The sequence below is a fragment of the Homo sapiens genome, chromosome 13 (genome assembly GCF_000001405.40).
Source record: "Homo sapiens chromosome 13, GRCh38.p14 Primary Assembly".
Classification (NCBI taxonomy): domain Eukaryota; kingdom Metazoa; phylum Chordata; class Mammalia; order Primates; family Hominidae; genus Homo; species Homo sapiens.
Genome location: NC_000013.11, coordinates 49,530,658 through 49,554,289, shown reverse-complemented (window position 1 = coordinate 49,554,289; position 23,632 = coordinate 49,530,658). Strand labels below are relative to the sequence as shown.

General features: G+C 41.2%; 1 protein-coding gene across 15 annotated transcripts in view; it reads left to right on the top strand.

Annotated features, from left to right (window-relative positions):
- Window positions 1-22,344, top strand: part of RCBTB1 (RCC1 and BTB domain containing protein 1) — a 53,613-nt gene extending 31,269 nt beyond the window's left edge. For 8 of the 15 annotated variants that reach the window (NM_001352501.2, NM_001352502.2, NM_001352503.2 and 5 more), the window contains 7 exons: window positions 2,005-2,112; window positions 2,822-2,964; window positions 4,642-4,832; window positions 9,427-9,553; window positions 12,463-12,614; window positions 13,284-13,414; window positions 20,028-22,344. In NM_001352501.2, the coding sequence (NP_001339430.1) occupies window positions 2,005-2,112; window positions 2,822-2,964; window positions 4,642-4,832; window positions 9,427-9,553; window positions 12,463-12,614; window positions 13,284-13,414; window positions 20,028-20,168 (993 nt within the window). In that variant the 3' untranslated portion in view covers window positions 20,169-22,344. Of the gene's footprint in view, window positions 1-2,004; window positions 2,113-2,821; window positions 2,965-3,198; window positions 3,726-3,825; window positions 3,880-4,389; window positions 4,548-4,641; window positions 4,833-7,118; window positions 7,797-9,426; window positions 9,554-12,462; window positions 12,615-13,283; window positions 13,883-20,027 lie in introns of those variants that run through there. The other 7 variants (NR_148015.2, NR_148016.2, NM_001352504.2 and 4 more) reach the window with 7 other exon arrangements.

Here is a 23,632-nt window from a genome sequence, read left to right as displayed (position 1 = left end):
CAGATAAAATAAAAAGTGAATACCTTTTCCCAATCTTGTTAATAGTTTCATGCATATCTTTTTGGACTTTTCCCTTAAACAATTATATATGGGTGAGTATAATTATCTTTTTTTAAAAAAATGGGATGATTATACCTACTGCAGCTTTTCTCTGCTATTCTTCAGCCTGCTTCCCGCTCCCCTGTATAGCATCCTGTGTTTATCTGTGTCTGTGATCAGACCATTTATGCGGCTTTCCATCATTATGGCTGCTGACTTTGGCTTCTGTGAATGACCCACATACAGAGCTCTACTGATGAACATGTCAGTTTTCTAATTTTTTGCTGTTATAGACAGAGTTGTGGTGATTTTCTATGTTACTCTGTGTATGTGTATCTTTGTACACTTATACAAGTATTTCTATAGAATAAATTTCCAAAGAATTTCTGGGTCAAGAAGTATGCCATTTGAAATACTGATAGCCATTGCCAAATTTCTCTCCAGAAAGTTCATGTCTGTTACACTTCTGGCACTGGGTGAAAGTGCCTTTAACCATCTCTCCCCAGGCCCTTAAAGTCCATTCCCCCTTTCCGCTCCATCATGTTACCCTGAAAAGCCCCAGTCTATGTCTGCCGCCCTACATTGCTGTGGGGCTCGATGCCACCACAAATCTTGGGTTTGTAATTTGAGCAAGGCCTTTATTTGTTCCTGGTCAGTACTTTTTCCTATGGCTATTTGGAACCTTTAACACTCCTGTCAAACCTATGCCTAGCTCTGTTACTTTCAGCAGATGGGCCTCCTCTCACTCTATATCCAAGGGACTGTCACGTTCTGGGAAGTCTTCTATTTTTAATCCTCTTTCCTCTGCTTTCCCTCTCATGATCCCCCTATCACTCCTTAGTTTAGAGCCTCATCAGAGCTCACCTATTTGCTAACGAGGGAAGAAATGACCTCCTAAAGGTTCTTCCTGCCTCTAGCCTTATATGCTCCATCATCTTTCATACTGTGGCCAGCATTATCTTTCAAAAATACAAATTAAATTAATATTTCAATGAGAAATTTATAGATGTATTGCACTTTCCCTGGTAGGTTTTTTGTCACTTTCCCTCTGAGCTCTTGCCTTTCCTTCTAGTCTTTTTGTTGTTGTTGTTGCCAGGCTGGAGTACGGTAGCACGATCTTGGCTCACTGCAACCTCTGCCTCCCAGGTTCAAGTGATTCTCCTGTCTCAGCCTCCTGAGTAGCTGGGGTTACAGGCACGCGCCACCACGCCCAGCTAATTTTTGTATTTTTAGTAGAGATGGGGTTTCACTGTGTTGGCCAGGATGGTCTCGATCTCCTGACCTGGTGATCTGCCCACGCTGGCCTTCCAAAGTGCTGGGATTACAGGCGTGAGCTACCCCACCCAGCCTTCTTCTAGTCTTTCTACTACCACTACCGCAGTTGTGTCCAGCCAAGCCCACCTACTTATCTTCTAAACTAGCTTCTAACACAGTCAATACCTTCTGCTTGGAATGTTTTTGCTCTCCTTCATCCTTCAGCTCTGCTCCAATCTCCACTTTTTGAAAAGTCTTCCTTAATCTTTCTTCCTAGAGCTAAAGCCTTCCTCCTTGCTGTTCTGCAGCGCCTTGATTATACCTATTGTAGCACTTGCTACCCATCAGCAAAAAATTTGCATGTATCTATTTCGCCTGTTAAACTGTGACCAAAAACTAGTACCTTTCAGAGTGTTCTGACATACAGTAGGTACTTAATAATTGTTAGTGAGGCTCAACTTCCTCATGTATTAAACAGGAAAGAGTGACTTGCCCCAGACTATCTAACTAGTAAGTCATGGAGTAGAAACTGATGCCAATTCTGTCATCCCCTTCTCCAAAATAGCTTCTGTTTGGAGATCAGTTGCAGGAGCATAGAGTAGAATATAGGTGTTGGAAGTATCTGATTTGTTTAGATGGGCTGGTTTTTTTGTCTCTTCCTTCTTACCAGCAGTTTAAAAATCTCACTCTCTCCCTTCTGTCCTCTCTAAGGTATATGGCTGGGGTTACAATGGCAACGGTCAGCTGGGCCTGGGAAACAATGGCAACCAGCTGACCCCTGTGAGAGTGGCAGCTTTGCACAGCGTGTGTGTGAACCAGGTACGTGTGGTGCACTCTCAGTTAGTGGCTTCCCATCTACCTTCCTTGCTCTAACTTGGAGAAATATTGGAGGTTTACTCTTCAGTCAGTCTTTTCTGGCAATACTCTGTGCCTTCATCTTCCATATTTAATATTATATCTTCCCTAATTTCCCACGAGGAGAAGCAAGACTATGGTGTTGGCAAAACAGGCTCGACAAGTTAAAAAAAAAAAAAAAAATGGAAAAATTCAGTAGCCTAAGGTTTAGGCTTTTCTAATGCTTTTTTTTTTTTTTTTTTGAGACGGAGTCTCCCTCTGTCACCCAGGCTGGAGTGCAATGGCACGATCTCAGCTCTCTGCAAGCTCCGCCTCCCGAGTTCACGCCATTCTCCTGCCTCATCCTCCCGAGTAGCTGGGACTACAGATGGCCGCCACCACACCTGGCTAATTTTTTGTATTTTTAGTAGAGACGGGGTTTCACCGTGTTAGCCAGGATGGTCTCAATCTCCTGACCTTGTGATCTGCCTGCCTCGGCCTCCCAAAGCGCTGGGATTACAGGCATGAGCCACCACGCCCGGCCTTCTAATGCTTTTTTAATGTTCCAGCAAATGTCAGTCCACCCCTGATGATGATTTGGCATTCTGCAGAAGCTGGCTATAGCCTTTAAGTAGATGTTCTCCCTGCCCTTCCTGTTTTCCTGCTAATGGTAACCGTTTCAATTTACTTGCAGATTGTCTGCGGTTACGCACATACTCTAGCACTAACAGATGAGGGCTTGCTGTATGCCTGGGGAGCTAACACATATGGGCAGCTGGGAACTGGCAATAAAAATAACCTGCTAAGCCCAGCACACATCATGGTGGAGAAAGAAAGGTAACTTGGCTGTGCCACGTCTTGGGACTGTGTGTGCGATGTGGCCTTGGGGCTGTGTGTGGCAGAGCTGTGGTGTTTGGCTTTGTGATTCTTCTGTTTATTAACATTCTCATTTTGGACAAAAGAGATAACCTTCCCTTCTCCCTTCCCCCTTCCTCCTTCTCCCTCCCTGCTTCCCCCTTCCCCCTTCTCCCTCCCCCCTTCCCTTCCCTTCCCTTCCCTTTTTTGAGACAGAGTCTCTGTCACCCAGACTGGAGTGCAATGGCACGATCTCGGCTCACTGCAACCTTCACTTCGTGGGTTCAAGTGATTCTTCTGCCTCAGCCTCCTGAGTAGCTGGGATTACAGGTGTGTACCACCATGCCCAGCTAATTTTTGTATTTTTTAGTAGAGACAGGGTTTCGCCATGTTGGCCAGGCTGGTCTTGAACTCCTGGCCTCAAGTGATCTACCCACCTCGGCCTCCCAAAGTGCTGGGATTATAGGCATGAGCCCCACCGTGCCTGGCCTATGCAAAAGTGTTTTGAGTAGTAGCCAGAATGAACATGAGGTTGATATGATTCTTATGTAGCTCTCTGAAATAACCACCTGTGATTGATAGGTGTGAATGCATCTTGGTATAATTACTGCAGTCTTGCTGTTGCCCTTTTAGTATGGAAGACAAGTAAGGTCTATGGCCATGTTGATGTTTATGGTGTAATATAAACTTTTACTTTGAGCCAAGTAAAACAACTTTTAAATAAATCTGCTCTTGAAAGGACATTATCTGTTTAAATATTGATTTGATATAATATGTGTTACTGGAATAGATGCTTGATGTTGTTCAGCCTAATTGTAAGGTCTTACCTCCTATGTCCTGGAGTGCTGACTTCTGATTATGAGACCTTACCCAAGAAGCATACTACTGAGAAATATAGTAAGTTTGGCTTGTTTTCCTTTTGGATTGGAACGTTCAGAGTCCGTGACCCCCAGCCAATGCTTATCAGCCCAATGAGTGTTCTGAGCTCTGGTAGGAGATGAGAGAAAAAGTTACATTTATAAAGAAATGGGCCAGGCACGATGGCTTACACCTGTAATCCCCAGCACTTTGGGAGGCGAAGGCAGAGGATCACTTGAGCCCAGGAGTTGGTGACCGGCCCTGGCAATATAGCGAGACTCTGTCTCTATAAAAAATACAAAACTTAGCCGGGTATGGTGGTGCAGCTGTGGTCTGGGAAGCTGAGGTGGAAGGATTGCTTGAGCCTGGGAGGTCGAGGCTGCAGTGAGCCATGGTCATGCCACTGCGCTCTAGCCTGGGTGACGGAGTGAGATCCTGTCTCAAAAAAGAAAAAAAAAAGAAATGGTATTTAAGCCATCACATTTGTTAGGGCATTTTCTCAGTGTCCACTTTCCTCATTTGCTTGGATTTGCTGGTCTGTTTTCCAAGTTTTCCTCGGCGGTCTGTGTGATCTATCCTAACTCACAGTGAGCTGAGGATGAGAAGTGGGCATTTGGGAAAGGAGAACAGTGCTCTTGCCCTGATCTGTTGCTTTTGTTGCTGTGACTTGGCAGCTAGTGTCCCTGGAACTTGGACTGTTTTCTGAGGTATTGCAAGCATGAACTTTTAAATTGCCTTGTGTGGTGTGCTGTGGGCTTCTGTGATCATGAAGTAACATGCATTTTTCTTAAAACTTTTCAGGGTGGTAGAGATTGCAGCCTGTCACTCTGCCCACACGTCTGCAGCCAAGACGCAGGGTGGGCACGTGTACATGTGGGGCCAGTGCCGGGGTCAGTCCGTGATCCTCCCGCACCTCACCCACTTCTCCTGCACCGACGACGTGTTTGCCTGCTTTGCCACTCCCGCCGTCTCGTGGCGCCTCCTGTCTGTGGGTAAGAAAGTGCAGGGCCACCTCCACCCAGGAAGAATGGTACTACCAACTGACCAGTTTTCCTGTGTCTTTGCTGGTTTTGGGATCTCTCAGAATGTTTTATTCTCTATTAGCTTTCATACGTTCCGTCAAAATAGATGTGCATAATCAAATGTATTCATATATTATAAAATATTACCATGAACTTTAAATTTTCTCTCATAAGTGCTTTCATTTCAATTGATATCAAATTCGCATAACATGCAATTAACCATTGTAAAGGGTACAGTTTAGTTGCGTTTAGAACATTCATAATGTTGTACATCCACCTTTTTTTTTTTTTTTATTGAGACAGAATCTCACTCTGTCGCCCAGGCTGGAGTGCAGTGGTGCAATCTCGGCTCACTGCAACCTCCACCTCCCGAGTTCAAGAGATTTTCCTGCCTCAGCCTCCCAAGTAGTAAGACTACAGGCACCAGCCACCACACCCAGCTAATTTTTGTATTTTTAGTAGAGGTGGGGTTTCACCATGTTGGCCAGGCTGTTCTCGAACTCCTGACCTCAGGTGATCCACCTGCCACTGTGCCTGGCCTACATCCACCCTTTATGTCAAATTCTAAATTGTTTTAATCACCCCAGAAGAAAGCCCTTATACGTTAATTAGTCACACTCCATTCTCCTCTCCCCCCAACCCCTAGCAACCACTAGTTTGCTTTTTGTTTCTATGGATTTGCCGACTCTGGAGAGTTCATATAAGCGGAAGCATACAATATGTGACCCATGTGTCTGGCTTCTTTTACTTAATGTTTTTGAGGCCCATTGACGTAATATGTCTCTGTATTTCATTCCCTTTTATGACTGAATAATATTCCATTATATATATATACACCATATTTTGTTTGTCACTTAACTGTTGATGGACATGTGGGTTGTTCCCACCTTTGACTCTCGTGGGTAGTGCTGTCATGACTGTTCTTGTATAAGTTTTTGGGTAGCCTGTTCTTAAGCACTTCTGTTATACTAGATTTCTTACAGAACTTGATATAATACCAATCAAAGATGAACTTTCTTTTCTTTTTTTTTTTTTTTTTGAGACGGAGTCTCACTCTGTTACCCAGGCTGGGGTGCAATGGCGCGATCTCGGCTCACTGCAGCCTCCGCCTCCCAGGTTCAAGTTCTCCTGCCTTAGCCTCCTGAGTAGCTGGGATTACAGGCGCGTGCCACCATGCCTGGCTAATTTTTTTATATTTTTAGTAGAGACAGAGTTTCACAATGTTGATCAGGCTGGTCAGGAACTCCTGACCTCGTGATCCGCCCGCCTCAGCCTCCCAAAGTGCTGGGATTACAGGCGTGAGCCACTGCGCCTGGTCCAAAAATGAACTTTCAAAAAAGTGAAGAACCGGCTGGGTGTGGTGGCTCACACCTGTAATCTCAGCACTTTGGGAGGCCAAGGTGGGTGGATTGCTTGAGCTCAGGAGTTTTAGACCAGCCTGGGCAACATGGCGAAACCCCATCTCTACAAAAAATAACCAGGAGTGGTGGTGCCTGCCTGTAGTATCAGCTACTCAGGAGGCTGAGGTGGAGAATTGCTTGAGCCTGGGAGGTCAAGGCTGCAGTGAACTGTGGTCGCACCACTGCACTCCAGCCTGGGTGACACAGCGAGACCCTGTCTCAATAAAAAAAGCAAACAACTTGTGGTTTTTAAGGTGACACATTAACCCCATCTTCTTTCTTTCTATCTTTGTCTTTCAACTGATTTCAAATTCTTTTATTTCAGAAGGGCATCAAAACAGAGGTATTATAAAGGGTAGTGGAATTTGGGGTGATATTTGGTTACATAATCTGTACCTTTTCTGAATATTGTCTTCTTTAAGAGTCCATTATTGGCTGAAAAAGCTAGGATGTCTTAAAACTGAGTAGCCATTTACAAGGTGACTTTAATCTTTTTATTTTATTTCTTGTTTATGTTTGCCTTTTTGCTAGCATATTTCTTTTAAGTTGTTTTATTTATAAGCAGAGGGAATAAGTGGGTCATGATGCTCTGTGCTTGAAAATTAATGTAGTTCTTGGCAGTTAAGGTGTTTGGGTTGTTCAGCAATTGATATTGAAGGTTAATTTTCTAAAACGTCATGCTTAGGTGTGTCAGACAGGTGGAGTTGTCCCAATTAGGTGACCAGTCATGGGCATGGAGGCAAGGGTGCTTAGGAAGAGTTAAGCTTGCCTTAAAGTGAAACCAATTGAATACTCCCTTTCACTTTATTTTTGCCATGTTCTTTAGGTATAATACAGTATTTTTTTTTTTTTGCAGTGAGTATTGTGATTGGAAAATAATTGGTTCACTGAATGGGACTATTTGGCCAGAATTGCACATGTATGGCATACCCAGCTGAAGCACTTCTGTACACATCTTCAGATTTGTATATACTACTTAACCTGGACTTGTTATAAAAGGCTTCCCCCAGTTCTTATATCTTAAAATGGCACAGGCATTCTTTTCAGAACAAATGTCCTAACAATTTAAATGTTAAGTTTGGAAAAAATATGGTCATTGACTATATCCTCCTAGATCAGGGGTCCCCACACCCCAGGCCATATGCCTGTACTGGTCCGTGGCCTGTTATTAACTGGGTTGCACGGCAGGAGGTGAGTGGCAGTGAGCGAAGCTTCATCTGTATTTACAGCTGCTCCCCATCACTCACATTACCGCCTGAGCTCCACCTCCCATCAGATCAGCAGCGGTATTAGATTCTCAAAGAAGCGTAAGCCCTATTGTGAACTGCACATGCGAGGGATACAGGTTGCGAGCTCCTTATGAGAATCTAATGCCTAGATGATCTGTCACTGTCTCCCATCACCCCCAGATGGGGCCGTCCAGTTGTAGGAAAACAAGCTCAGGACTCCCACTGATTCTACATTATGGTGAGTTGTGTAATTATTTCATTACATATTACAGTGTAACAATAATAAAAATTAAGTGCACAATAAACATAATGTGCTTGAATCATCCCCAAACCATCCTCCTCCCCGCCTCGGTCCGTGGAAAAATTGTCTTCCACAAAACTGGTCCCTGGTACCAAAAAGGTTGGGGACTGCTGTCCTAGATAACTTCTTTCCCTTCCACCCACTGAAAGTCAAAAGTGTTTTTTCCCTCTCACTTTGTGATCTCATCTGAGTGTTAGACGGAAAGTCACATGGTGAATTCACCCCTTTGAGGAGGATTTCTTCTCTGAAAGGATGTACTATACTTGTTGCCAGGAGCAAAGAGGAGAAAGAGTCATTTCAGCCTAAGACTGGATGCAGAAGTTGAAGCACTGATGAGAAGTGGGTTTTTTTTTGGATGGGTGGGGGTAGCAATCTAGACTCCTGGACTCTTGGCCCATCTTAGTCATTTGTATTCTTTTACCCACCAGTGATCCAGGTTGCAAGGTCAGGGGAAGCCTGACTTTTGAGAGGTTTTCTACCTTTCCTCTGTAGCCAGGAGAGCTCTGCATTGCATGGGGTGGAGGGAGGGCTGTCAGTTAAGGTCACAGGGCTTAGGTGAAAGGTAATGCCTTGGGGGAGAGTCTGATGATAAAGCTTGCAGATAAGCTCATTTGTTGAGTTTCAGCCTAGGTTTTAGCTGTTGTCCCTCCTCTAGGAGTTGCTCTGGTAACAGCACGCTACCAAGGGAAAATGGTTCATCCCAGGCTTGGAAGCCGAGGTCTTTGATTAAGACACTGATTATTAACTCAGCTGTGGGCAGTTGAAACCTGCTTCGTGTATCCATAGCAGCTTGATTCGATGCCTGGTCAGGATCTCTGGAATTTAAAAAAATTTCCCCATTAGCCCTTTTCTGCTTCTTTTCTTCTTTCATACATATAAAACACAAGAAAGCATTCCGGGAATTTGTACAAGTGCCTTTACTTTTCCTTGTAGTAACACAGTTCTACTTAACATATAACCACAACAGCAATTCTTCTTATCAGGTAAGGTGATCCTGTGTTCTTATAAAACTGTTCCCTTCATGTAGGTGTTGTTTCTAAGTGAATTTGCTCTGTGTTTAGACAGTGAGTAAGGATTATGCATATAGTGATTTTTAGGGTTAACAGAGATGTTTAGATTCCAGATACTTAGGAAAGAGTTTCTCTGCTTGAGAACATGACCGCTTAGCATTACCATTTAAGTGGTAAGTTTGTTTCTTGCACCTCCTTGAGTTGGGTATGCTGACCCCTTGAAAGTACCCCAAAGCAGAAAAAAGATATTCTTAGTGTTTCAGTCAAGGGAAACAAATTCTTAGTCTTAGAAGAGAACCACTCGTTTTGAGAGGGGGTTATTATATTATCATGAAGTACCTATAATTTTTTTCTTTAAAAATATACATTTCTAATGTATAACTAGGCATATAAGATGGTATTTAGCCTTTCTAAATACCATCTTTTGGTGGTTTTCTTTGGTAGTTTATAGATGCAGGATACTTACTTTAATACCGTAGAATTGATTTGTCAAACAAGGTATGAACTCTTGAAAAAAAAACAAGTGGAATTATCCATCACGGTCATGATGATCTTTTTGAAGTCTTTTGAATCTTCAATCTGTTCCTTGAACTTGCCATATTAATATATGTTTGTTGCCTTCAGAGCATGAAGACTTTTTAACAGTTGCAGAGTCACTGAAGAAAGAATTTGATAGTCCAGAAACTGCTGATCTGAAGTTTCGAATTGATGGAAAATATATTCATGTCCATAAAGCTGTTTTGAAAATCAGGTATTTTTGCATGAGCTCAGAGACATCAATAACTTGACTTTTCTTTCTTTGTTATTCCACAAAATGAGTACTGATAAAAAATAGCCTTGGTAGTAGAGAGAAATGTCACTACTTAATATTTTTGCAGATAGTATCAGTCCATTTCATGTCAAAGAGTTTTTTGTGTACACTCATGGAGCGTTTTAGAAAAAGTGTAATGTAGGAATTTAAGTATTTGTCCATATTGGTTTTTTGTGTTTGTTTGTTTGTTTGTTTGTTTGTTTCTTTGAGACAGAGTTTCACTCTTGTTGCTCAGGCTGGAGTGCAGTGGCACGATCTCAGCTCACCGCAACCTCTGCCTCCCGGGTTTAAGTGATTCTCCTGCCTCAGCCTCCTGAGTAGCTGGGATTACAGGCAGGCGCCACCATGCCTGGCTAATTTTGTATTTATAATAGAGATGGGGTTTCTCCATGTTGGTCAGGTTGGTCTCGAACTCCCGATCTCAGGTGATCTGCCCGCCTCAGCCTCCCAAAGTGCTGGCATTACAGATGTGAGCTACCACGCCCAGCTTATATTGTTTTTTAAATTAAGAATCTGGTGAATACTCATTTCCATCAGAAAATTTATTTACGTGGTTAAAGAAAATACAAAAGGTTGTTATTGAAAAGTGTATATGCCCTCTTTTAATTATAGATTAAGCAGAAAACTCTCATAGGAATGCTGTGCTTCTGTTTCTAAGGGACATGCAATTACCAATTGAAGAATGTTCTAGGCTCAGCATGGTGGCTCATGCCTGTAATCCTAGGACTTTGGGAGGCCAAGGCGGGAATATCACTTGATCCTAGGAGTCTGAGACCAGCCTAGGCAATATAGCGAGACACTGTCTCTACAAAAAATAGAAAAAATTAGCCAGGTGTGGTGGTGCATTCCTGTAGTTCCAGCTGCTCTGGAGGCTGAGGTGGAAGGATTGCTTGAGCCCAGTAGATCAAGGCTGTGGTGAGCTGTGATCATCCTGGGAGACAGAGTGAGATCTTATCTCAAAAATGAAAAAAAAAGTTTTTAAGATATAGTTCCTTGTATAAATGTGAGGGACCTATGCGTTTATTAGTAACTGTTTGCCACAAAGGTTGCCATTGCAGAAAAAGGCACATAAGCTAAGACCATTAAAGTGGCCATTTACAAGTCTTTTTGGAAATTTAGGTAAAAACCTATTGGCAAAGAAATACATTTGAAAGGAACAGAAAAGCCCTATGTCATTCCTTACCTAAGGGAGTAAATATCTGAACCACAGTATTAATTGAAAAGATGAACTGGAACTGTTTCTGTCTGTGCACCTGTGGTCAACCAGTCTATTCCTTTCATGTACAGTTTTCTGACCATGAAATCCATGATTCTTTCTTAGACAACTATTTCTTTTTTATTTCTCAGGTAATTTTTTATGTAAGTGAAACTATTTTTTTAGTATTCTGAATGGATTCTTTTTCTTTTTTTTTTGAGACAGAGACTCATTCTGTCACCCAGGCTAGAGTGCAGTGGCGTAATACCAGCTCACTGCAACCTCCACCTCCTGTGTTCAAGCGATCTTCCAGCTTCAGCCTCCCAAGTAGCTGGGATTACAATCGTGCACTAACCACGCCCAGCTAATTTTTGTATTTTAAGTAGAGACAAAGTTTCGCCATGTTGGCCAGGCCGGTCTCAAACTCCTGACCTCAGGTGATTGAGGCTGACCTGCCTCGGCCTCCCAAAGTGCTGGAATTACAGGCTTGAGCCACTGCACCTCAGAATACTTTTTCTCTTTGTGCCGTATCTCACTTTAAAATAATTTAAAAATATGATTTTTAGAAAGATACAACTGTGTTATACATAAGAAAATCCAATATTCAGAAATCAGTTTCTTGTGCAGGTGGCTTTGTACATGTAAATACAGTGTAGGAGCTGCTCAGGTTTTCTTGAAATATCTGACTATCCTAGTGGATGTGAGTGTTTTATAAATAAGCTTGTAGCAGGCCTGGGAAGAGAGGAAGGGGAACAGGCAATGCAAAAAAAAAAAAGGAGTGATGGCTGTTTTGACGATAAGTCAGAAAAGAAGAAAAATTGTCGGATAATCAGACAATAATCAGCTTGATGTAATCCAGTTAACATATAAAACAGTTTTAAGAATATGCTTATTATGTAAAACAAAAAACAAATGAATCATTTTAATGTTGATACATAGTCAAAAGTTTTGAACTCTTGTTTCTGAATTTCTTTCACTTTATTGTTTAAAATGCATTTCTGTACATCATTTTAAAAAAAACAAAGGAGCAAAAAAATCTTGGGGACCATCAAATGGAAACAGTAGTGGAAGTGCTAGGTACTTCCAGGCTCTATGTATACCTATTAGTATTTAATAGGAGTTACAAAAAATGAAAGTGAGTGTATGTAAAAGGCATGTACAAAAACCACTTGCATGTGGAATGTTTTTTGGGTGCTAACTAAAGGTCTGTGATCCTGGTGTGTTCAGGCCCAGATAGTAGTTAATATACTTACTTTTTTTTTTTTTTTGAGACGGAGTTTTGCTCTTGTTGCCAGGCTAGAGTGCAGAAGCGCAATCTCGGCTCGCCACAACCTCCACCTCCCGGGTTCAAGCGATTCTCCTGCCTCAGCCTCCTGAGTAGCTGGGATTATAGGCATGCACCACCATGCCCAGCTAATTTTGTATTTTTAGTAGAGACGGGGTTTATCCATGTTGGTCAGGCTGGTCTCGAACTCCTGATCTCAGGTGATCTACCCGCTTGGCCTCCCAAAGTGCTGGGATTACAGGCATGAGCCACCACGCCCGGCCCAAGGATACTTCTGTTTATCTGATTTTATCAACTTAATTAGGTAATTTTTTTTTCTTTTTTAAAAATTGCTGCTGAACAAATAAGACTTTTGCTTTGCTGTTTTAGGTGTGAGCATTTTCGATCCATGTTCCAGTCGTATTGGAATGAAGACATGAAGGAAGTGATAGAAATCGATCAGTTTTCTTACCCAGTGTATCGTGCCTTTCTCCAGTACCTCTACACAGACACAGTCGACCTGCCGCCAGAAGATGCTATAGGTACTGTGGTAGCATTGGGATGGACGAGCCGCATGGTGGAGAATATATCCCCTCATATTCTTAGTCCTGAAATGTAAAAAGCTTCAGGTGTATTGGCTTTAATTTGGTGCTTAAAAAAGATTTGAAGTAAGTATCTTTAAAAGTAGTATTGTGTAGTTATTATGGTTAATAGTTTTGGACCTAGTTTATGACCATAGGCTTTTTTGTTCTAATGTTACTGAAGGACTTTTTTTTTTTTAATTTATTTTTAAGTTCTGGGGTACACGTGCAGGATGTGTAGGCTTGTTACATAGGTAAACGTGTGCCATGGTGGTTTGCTGTACCTGTCAACCCATCACCTAGGTATTAAGCTATGGGCTTATTTTAATTTTCTAGTAGTGAAGTATAAGTTGCTAATGCATTTAGCGTTTTAGAAACAAAATGAGGATTGAAATTGCATTTTTTGCTCTTTCTTTGCACTATTGAAGAAATTGTATAAAGTAAATATAGGAGAGGTGTGGAAGTGGAGGAGGCAGACAGTAAAAAAGAGAATTTATTTACTCAAATTCAGAATCTTATCCACTAAGAAACTTCTAATTTACCTGTACACCTCTGTTCACCAAAACAAAATCTCTGTGTATTGGAAATTATTATACATTTGATTAAACCTTTCACATATTTTACTTTTAGGTCTTCTGGATTTGGCGACATCTTACTGTGAAAACAGACTGAAAAAACTTTGTCAGCACATTATCAAGAGAGGAATTACTGTGGAGAATGCCTTTTCGCTATTCTCTGCTGCAGTCAGATATGATGCAGAGGTAACTTAAACAACAAACAGAAACCAGACCACCTTTAACTCCCTTTGTGCTCGTCTCCCCCGCTTCTTGCGTGAGGCATGGAAAACGATGAGTCACTCCACTTCTGTTTAGGGAATCAGTGAACCCATTGAAAACTGAAATCTGCCCTTGCTTCTTAATTCCCTGTTCATTGTTTCAAAAGTCGTTGTTCCTCTACTTTCATTTCTAAGTAAGACAGGAAACGAACCAAGGTCCTAGCAGCTGTGCTGCAGGTTGGAACATAAGGTGCCACAACTAATTGGACTAACAAACAGCATATTTTAGTTTCAAGTCTTTCTTAATGTCAGCATATGTGTTTATTTCGAGACTTACCTTGCTGTCTTTCCACCTCTGCCCTGTCATAAGCTGGGGATGTGTATGATTTGTATCTGTGTACGCTCTGCAATTCTATTAGTGTCTAATTACAGCTCACAGTTATTTACCTGTTAAGAACTTGCTGTGGACTCCTTTTGTTTTTGCACTGGGTTGAGTTCTTAATCTGAGATTCACAGATCTGTTGAGCCTGTGAATTAATGGGCTTTGGGGAGTCTGAAAGTTTGTGTGCATTTTTTTGAAGAACCAAAGCATCAGACTGTAAGCTCCTCGTGAGCAGGAACTGTCTCATTCGTCTGTATACCCTATAGTGCCTGGCACATATTAGGCACCTGATAAATGTTGAACTGGATGAAGATAGTACCTTAAAGGAAGCATTAAGGATGATCAGTGAGCTGAAGGCGGGTATGGTTGGTTTCACAGATTCAGAGAGAATAAAAGGTAGAGAGCAATAGCCTTGGAGTTTCAAAATATCTAGCTAAGTTGTGCATGTAGAATGTTACAATTAGCCTATCCTTGCAGATACTTTGTCATTTGACAAAGCAGAATATCTGGTATCAAGGAGTTTATCAAACACCTGCAAAGATCTGCAGCTGTGTCCTTTGAGGTATAAGAGGACACACTTCATCACACATAGGGATCAAAGTTGACCACGATGTTTTCAAAATGTATCTTATTTTTGTTTGAGGCTATATTCTGATTATAAATATTTGATAAGGTCAAATGTAGCTGACTTTGTCTGCAGCCCGACAACAGATGGAATGATGATCAAAGTAAATCATTTCTAATAGAAAATGGGGTATGATTTTTTTCCTGTCCTTCCTGTGACACCCTGAACCTCTTTATTAGAAAAGCTGTTTCTTTAGATTTTATTTCCACCCGGTGATATAATTTTAAATTGGGTTAGTGCCTTTTCTGTCCATTTGGTGACGGATGTTAGAATCCTCTCTGGGCCTCTCCACGCTCCTCCTCCTTGTTAACGAGTTCCATACTCAGGATCAGACCTTGCTGACTAACACCAGTGAGAACAACCTGGGCAGAGGCAGATGTCTCGGCTCAAGTTGCTGGAAACTTCTTCCTCACTTTTAGCTAAGATCTGTCCTAGGAAGTTTACAGAAAAAGCCTCTGCTGCTGCTTCCTGTGCCAGCAGGTCATTTCCTTTACTAGTTTTCATTTTTCTCATATTAAGTATAAACATGATAAAAACTTCCTTTAGAAAGACTCCAAATAAGTGTGATTCCCCAGAGTCTGTCACAGTGTGGGCATGGAGCTGGCGCTCAAAAATGCATGTTGAATTAAATAAATGAGTGAAAACATTTGAAATACCTCACCATGAAGGTGTGCTTAAAAAAAAAAAAATGGCCAGGCTTGGAGATCACGCCTGTAATCCCGGCACTTTGGGAGGCCAAGGTGGGCCACTTGAGATCAGGAGTTTGAGACCAGCCTGGCCAACATGGTGAAACCCTGTCTCTACTAAAAATACAAAAATTAGCTGGGTGTGGTGGTGCGTACCTGTAATCCCAGCTATTCGGGAGGCTGAGGCAGGAGAATTGCTTGAATCTGGGAGGGAGAAGTTGTACCACTGCACTCCAGCCTGGGCAACAGAGCAAGACTCTGTCTCAAAAAAAAAAAAAAAGTTAAAAAAAACTTAAAATCCTACAAATATTACAGATTCAACGTAGAAAAATTAGAGAATAGAAAGAAGACAAAAAGAAAGACTCACCTCTTTATTTCTAGGGCATATATATATATGTGTGTGTGTGTGTATATATATATATTCATAATTTGTATGTATTTTTTTTTCCTGGTGATACAGGGTCTTGTTCTGTTGCCCAGGCTGAAGCACAGTGGTGTGATCACAGCTCACTGTAGCCTCAACTTCCTGGGCTCAAGTAGTCCTCCTTCCTTCCCAGTCCAGGAACTGGGACTACGGATGTGTGCCACCACACCCAGCTAATTTCTTATTTTTTATTTGTTGTAGAGACAGGGTTTCATTATGTTGCCCAGGCTGGTCTTGAACTTCTGGGCTCAAGTGTCCCTCCCACCTCAGCCTTCCAAAGTGCTGGGATTATAGGCATGAGCCACTGCGCCAGGCCTCTTTCTAGGGTGTATTTCTTAGGTTACAATACAAGTTACGTAATTGACTAATGTGCTTTTACATTTTATTTCCTGAATGCTACAAGATACAGTGAGTACATGAATGAAGTTCTGGAGTACAAAATTAAAATCCATAGCTGGGCACAGTGGCTCATGCCTGTATTCTAGCTACTCAGGATGCTGAAGTGGGAGGATTGCTTGAGGCTAGGAGTTTGAGACCAGCCTGGACAACATAGTGAGACTGCCATCTCTTAAAAAGAAAGCCCTCTTACTGTGTTTATTAGTTGATTGGAGGCTACTGATGAGTCAGGTTAGAAATTGACTGCAAAAACTATTATTTTTAGAGCTCAACTTGGGGATGCTAGATGACTTTGCCTTCGTGCTGTGGGCCAAAATGCTAGGAAGATGGAGACTACCTGCTTCCAATGTTTCTTGTCTTTCTACGAAAGTACCTGAGGTTCCTCCATGCCCCGTTTTGACAAGATAGCTTTGAAGCAAATGTACACACATTAAAGCAACAAAAATGTATGGACTCAGTAGTTACAGGGAGTTTCAAAAGTAAGTTGATGATTGTGGATCCCTTGCTATGAACGTGTTATGAAACTGTCCACAAGTTTTATTAAGAAGGACTTCACAAAGGAGCACCCAGATACTCCTTTGGTACAGACCTGAATAAATATTGACATCAGGGAGAAAATGTGGATAAAACATTGTTTCAAGATAGATCAGTTGCACAATGCAAACTGATTCTTTTCAGGAAATTTTTTATTTTTATGTGTATTTGAACGTTAAGAGAAACAGCTGGGAAGTATTATTTGTTTAACCAGAGTAGAGAACTTTCCAGAAATCCTGTGTGCTAAGCAACTTATATCTTACGATCTTGCTTTTGGAGGGAAGCGATAAACGTGAGCCCAGGAATCTAATTCTGAAGTTGGTCTGGGGTATGAGTATTGGACAGCTTGGTGTTAAGGCTTGGTGGCCAGCGTTTTTTTCTTCTTTTGGTGGGCCAAATGAAAAGTCTTTGATCAGCAGTAGGCTGACAAATGTTTTTTGCGTAATGGGATAAATTATGTTTTCTCCATATGGTAGAATGTTTAAGTACATTTTGAGAACAAAACAAAACTTCTTTGATTTGGAATATTTTGTACTTGATGTGCTATAACATGAATTATAGACTGACAGTTTTGGGGTTTTGTCTTGCAGTTACTTTAACAACAGGTTGGACAGAGTTAGGTGTGGTTCGTGATCTTGTGTCATCTGGAATGTGTCTTGTGGGGAGCTGTGATGCCGAGGCACCTGCTCACCCTGGTTAGGTGGTCTTCAAATTATTAACATTCAACTAGTTTAGCTTTGGAGTTTTAGGACAGGGTAAGAACTCCCTTAGAGGCGGCATTAGCATTTTTTAAAATGAGGATATTAAGACCATCAATGCTCTGTGTTTTGTTTTGTTACTAAAGAAAATTTGTGGAAAGGAAAAACAGCTTATTTTCAGAGTATATATATTGAATTGGAATAGTTTCAATGTTGAAAGATTTGGAATGATTTATAAATTACTTCAGAAGAGCAGTTTTTATTTTTGTCTTCTTTGCTAATGACAATAAATCTGGTATTTTATCTCATTTGCCTTAGAACACTTTATAATTGTTCTGCCACATAACGTCATAAACAGAGTTTAGTTTCTAATACCAAGAAGACTGTATTAGACCCTTCTGTTTTTATACTCTCCACTTCCCTATTCCATGGGCTATAAGAGGACTTTCATTCTGTCGGGAACTTTGTTCATCTCCTGGTCACATGATCCTTCTGGTCCTCCTTGGAACTGTTTTATTTAAAGCCCAGTTAGAAGTAAGAAGTCAACTATAACCAGCCCTGTTATAGTTGACTTCTCACTTGGACAGGAGTTGCATTTTCTTGCCTGTTATTGAAGATTTGATCCTTTGCAGAATGAAAGGAACAGATTATGTAGATTCTTATAATACTAAAGAGAGGTCAAGTCGGAAGGGCGTTTGTCTAACTTGCTCATCAAAGGCAAACCAACCCTGGGCACTGGTTGCTAAGTGGTTCAGCTTGACTGTGCGACTCTCTGGTGAACTTGCAAATTCAAACGTCCCTCACCACATGCGTTCAGGGCTTCCTTTTACATAGATCTGCCTCAACCAAGGTTTAATTAGTTACTTACACAACCCAGATTTAGATTGTTTTCAGAATTCTCTAGTTTGGCTTTTAATGTTTGGAACTTTTGAATATTTATTGCATACCCAGATACCTCAGTAGTTCAAACTAATTGGAGGGGAAGGGAAGGCAGTTTGATAGAACCATTTTCATGAGTGTATAAAGTGAATTGTGATTAGTGGCACCATTTTTATACCTATATTGTGTATAAAAGTTCTTTTTTTTTTTTTTTGAGATGGAGTTTCACTCCTGTCTCCCAGGCTGGAGTGCAGTGGCATGATCTCGGCTCACTGCAACCTCCGCCTCCTGGGTTCAAGCGATTCTCCTGCCTCAGCTTCCTGAGTAGCTGGGATTACAGGTGCTTGCCACCACACCTGGCTAATTTTTGTATTTTTAGTAGAGACGGGGTTTCACCATGTTGGTCAAGCTGGTCTCAAACTCCTGACCTCGTGATCTGCCCGCATCAGCCTCCCAAAGTGCTGAGATTACAGGCGTGAGCCACCACGCCTGGCCTGTGGTTTATCTCTTAATGGTTATGTGACTGGATGGGTTTCTGGAGTTTACTCTAGGGCATCTTTTAGCCAGGGACAGGAGGACCCTTAGAACAAGGAAATCATTGTTTGCAGAGGTCTGTGCTGAGAGCAGAAAAGGGGTCTCTCCATGTTTGTGTGGGCCCCTTCCACTCTGTCTAACATTCCCACCTCGTGGTAGCTGGAAATGTGCGGTCAAAACCTGCAGTTGAAATGTTGAGCTTCTGGTTCGATAGAACCCGGAGTGCTGACCTTCAATGTACCAGCTAACCAAGTTGTAATAAAGTCAAGCTATTTGTGATAAGAGCTTTTAGTGTGATTTCCTTTTATATATTGAGTCTTTGTATGCATTCCAGGTGCCTAATCGATTTAATAAATATATATTCCAACATCCTAAGGGACAGACTATATTAAAGTTTGGCAGGGGATGAAAGGGTGGATTAGCATAGGCAGGGATTGATTTTGAAATGGTTCTGGTTTACCCCTTGTGGATGTTACTCCCCTGAATGTTGGTAGTTGGTGACTTCTGTTTGACTGAAAACTAACCTGTGTAAATATACTTCTGTGGGGGTGATGTTCTGAGATATTAGTGTGGTGGAAGTTGTAGTGTTATTATTCTTTATGGCTTTAAAAATAAAGTCATTATTAGGAGAGCATAAAAGTGAATTTAAGGTGAATTTTTTGGGATTTTCTTTCAGAGCCTCTGCTCTGTCACCCAGGCTAGAGTGCAGTGGTGCGATCTCGGCTCACCGCAACCTCTGCCTCCCAGGCTCAAACGATTCTCCTGTCTCAGTCTCCTGAGTAGCTGGGATTACAGGCATCCACCACCACGCCCGGCTAATTTTTGTAGTTTTACTAGAGACGGGGTTTCCCTATGTTGGCCAGGCTGGTCTCGAACTCCTGACCTCAAGTGATCCGCCCGCCTCGGCCTCCCAAAGTGCTGGGATTACAGGCGTGAGCCACCGTGCCCGGCTGGGATTTTCTTTTTAATGTGCCACTTTAGGTTGACCATATCTCTTCATTACCTTTCTGTTTCTTAAACTAACCCACATCTTAATTCTTTTCTCTGATGTCTTGAACGTGACAAAACACATTCTGCAGACTAAAGTGGCATTCTGCCTTTTACAACAATGTCTTTGAGCATAACTAGATTATGTGATAATCGTGCAGGAAATTCTTTCCCTTGTAGATCTTGCGTGTGTGTGTGTGTGCGCGCGCGTGTGTGTTTTGAAGAGTCGTACTTTGAGTTAGAGGACCATTGCTTTTACTGCGTTGAATAAATAGTATGTGTTTTTCTCACACCTACCTGTGGTCACCTTTTTGCCTAGTTTTAGGTATCTGGCCTCTCAAATATCTTTTCTGGGGGAGGGTGAGAGATTTGGGGTAAAGGGCTCAGAGAGAAGTAATTCAATCAAAGTTGCCTAAAAAAGCCATTTTTGTTTTTATTTTTGTTGTGTGTCCAGGATTTAGAAGAATTCTGCTTTAAGTTTTGCATCAATCATTTGACAGAAGTTACACAGACTGCAGCATTTTGGCAAATGGATGGCCCTCTGCTAAAGGAATTCATTGCTAAAGCCAGTAAATGTGGAGCCTTTAAGAACTGAAGCGCAAGGCTGCTGGGTTCTGTGTGAGTGCTCTGGGGCACTGTTGAGGATGTGTCCAGTTTGTGCTCTACGGGTGATGTGATTCTGCAGGTAAAAGACCATCAGGTTGTTTTTTTCCACATCTGGGACACAGTTGTTTGTGTAGGAACATAACAAGGGTGTACGGCTTTTCTTGAGCCCATTTTAAACAACCCTTGTTTCCAGATAAGTGTATTTTAAATGTGACCTTTCGTAAATTTGGGCTGGAACATGTAAAAGGGTGAAAGTTAGTCGTTTTTGGTCTTCTTTTCATTTTTGATTAGAGGAACTTCTGAACTTGGAAAGGGGAAGTTGGCAGCAACTCTCCTGGGCCACGTATCAACAATCTTCTGACAGCAGGAGCAGTGATAGTTGGGGAATTGTGAGATGAATGGAGAGGCCCCATCGTGAATTAAAGATGCTGACCTGGGGATTGTTAAGTGCTGCCTTAGTTGCTAGTTTAGTAGCCTTACTGTGAAGGAATAATTAAGATTGTTTCAGACTTTTGTTTGTGTGCTTGCGTTGATGACTTTTTTAACTTCAAGATAAATCAAAGTAATAAGTTTAACGTATATTAAACCTGTTGAAATGATAATTATGTAAAGATAAATATTCTAGGTTAGTCAAGATTTCTCTTAAGATTTAAGTGCATAAAGAATAGTAATTTAGAAGTATCCGTGAAAAGTTGATAATGAAAGAAATTTGATGAAGGTGAATATTTTATAAATTAGAATCTCCACTACTTATCCAATGGTGTTTTATTTCATTAAGGTAGAACTTGAGAACTCAAGTTTAAATTGTCCCCCACCACCTTCTTCTATAAATGCAAACTTAAGAGGAAAATAATGACATGTATAGTATACTCTTGCCTTCCTAAATTATGACTGCTGAATCATCATATCTACTATATATGACTGGAAGAAGTGGTTCTTCAAGTCAACCCTCTTACAAGACTTAGTGGAATTTGCTTTATCTACTTTAGGCCAAATCCATCACACATTGGCTTATGTGAAACTTTATCATCTTTCACTTTTGGTTTTCCTCTGTTTTTAAACATCTTAGGTATAACAGCACAATTTCACCTTGAAAAAGCACCAAAATTATGGTGTTCCTGAAAAGATCCTATTAAAAGACAGTAGTTTATTTGAACTGGTTATGGAAGGTGACTTTGGGATGTAAGAGTGTTCAACTGTGAGTTTCATCATGTGTGTCCGTTGAGCTTGCTTTTAAGAGCAATGTTTTGCTTTGCTCTCTGGTCCATGAACTCATTTCCATTTGAGTGAGTTCCCTTAGTGAATTTTGTCTCCTGCTTGGAAAGTCTCTCTTCTGAACCTGGAGCCTGAATACATTTTCAGAGCCAAATTACAAGTGGGTGAAGACATGCTACAACTACTATTTTTAGCAATGTTTTTAAATTTGTGTCTATTGGGGTGGGAAGGGGAGTGAGGCCCTAAAGATAGGAATTCACTGATAGCTGAAATAGATACAAGCCTAGGAGCCCCAGCCCCCTTTTCTTGACCATATCACAAGTGATTGAAGCCCAGTGAATTAGTCGGTTAGAATTCGTTCTACAACATGATAGAACTTTTCTTACTAGCTTCAGAAATGCACATTGATTTGTGCTATGATGGGTGGTGTTTGTAACAATCACTGTTCTATAGGCTTATGATCTGAGCAAAATGTGAACTTCAGTATGTTTACTATTGCTCTTACTTGAAAACTTTTTTTCAAAAAAAGCACAAATTAAAGTAGTAAATTCATATCCATAGATAGTTCATTCATTCAACAAATATTTACCAAGTTCCTAATATAAGTGAAGGACCACTTCTCATATTAGATTACTAAGTCATTTGTATGAATATGTGTGGCAGTGAAGAGAACAGGTCTTTCAAAAAGCATTTGATTATTTTTTTTAAATACACTCTCTTATTTTTCTACTTGTTTTTTTGTTAATCATAGCAGGATATGACAACTCTTATTTGAATTGATTTTTTCATCTAATGTAATAATGGAAGCCAAAGTATTCATATTTCTTAAGATAGCCCTAAATGTACTCTTGAACTTCTTACTGGAACAATGTTTGATACTCTAGTATGTAAGCTGTATTTATGTAATATTTAGAACGACATGTTAATAAACAAAGTAACATTAAAACAGGCACATAGAGTTGTTTTTTTCCTTCAAAATCAGTAGTCTGCAGCCTTAAAAAGGAAAGAAATTCTGACACATGGTGCACAGAGGTGAACTTGAGGATATTATGCTGGGTGAAATAAGCCACTCACAGAAAAATACTATGTGATGCCATTTGTGTGATATACTTAGTCAAATTCATTGAGACATAGTAGAATGGTCATTGCCAGGGTCTGAGGGGAGAGGAGAATGGGGAACTTGTTTAATGGATACAGAGTTTCAGTTTTCCAAGATGAAGAGTCCTTTAGGTCAGGGGTCCCCAACCCTCGGGCCACAGACCCATATTCATCCCTGGCGTGTTAGGAAGAGGTCGCACAGCGGGAGGTGAGTGGCGGATGAGTGAGCATTACTGCCTGAGTTCTGCCTCCTGTCAGATCAGTGGCAACATTAGAACATTAGATTCTCATAGGAGTGCAAACCCTACAGTGAACTGAGTATGCAAGGGATCTAGGTTGTGTGCTCCATATGAGAATCTAATGACTGGTGATCTGAGGTGGACCAATTTCATCCCAAAACCATCCTCCCCACCCCTGACCAACCGCCCCATCCCCATGGTCCGTGGAAAAATTGTCTTCCACGAAACCAGTCCCTGGTGCCAAAAAGGTTGGGGACTGCTGCTTTAGGTGCATGGTGGTGATGGTTGCACAAAAATGAATGTTTAATGCCATTGAACCATACATTTAAAAATGATTGGGATGGCAAATTTTAGGTTATATATATATTTTACCATAATAAAAAAAATCAGTGGTGTGATTCTTAATGGGTATCAGGCTAAAAATAGGTACCAGCATGAACATGTCAACTGCTTGATTCTCAACTATACACAAACAAACATCATAGAAATCTTTGGATTTTATTCCTGCTGAAGGGTAGTACAGTTGAACTGGCACAGTAGAAAAATGTGTCTGTACCTTTGGGGGTACTTGAAGGGAAAGGCATATTCCCTATCCTCAAAGAACATATGAATTATTAGGAGAGAGGGAGATAGGTTTAGGAATTAACAACACAATGAGATACTTATAAAGAGCTTTTCATAACAGTCAGTGAGAGAAAACCAAATAGGATGATGTGGTTTGGCTCTGTGTCCCCACCCAACTTATCTTGAATTGTAATCCTCAGTTGTTGAGGGAGACCTGTTGGGAGGTGATTGGATTATGGGGGCGGTTTCCCCATGCTGTTCTCATGCTATTGAGGGAGTTCTTATGAGATCTGATGGTTTTATAAATGGCAGTTCCCCCTGGGCTTTGCGTGCTCTC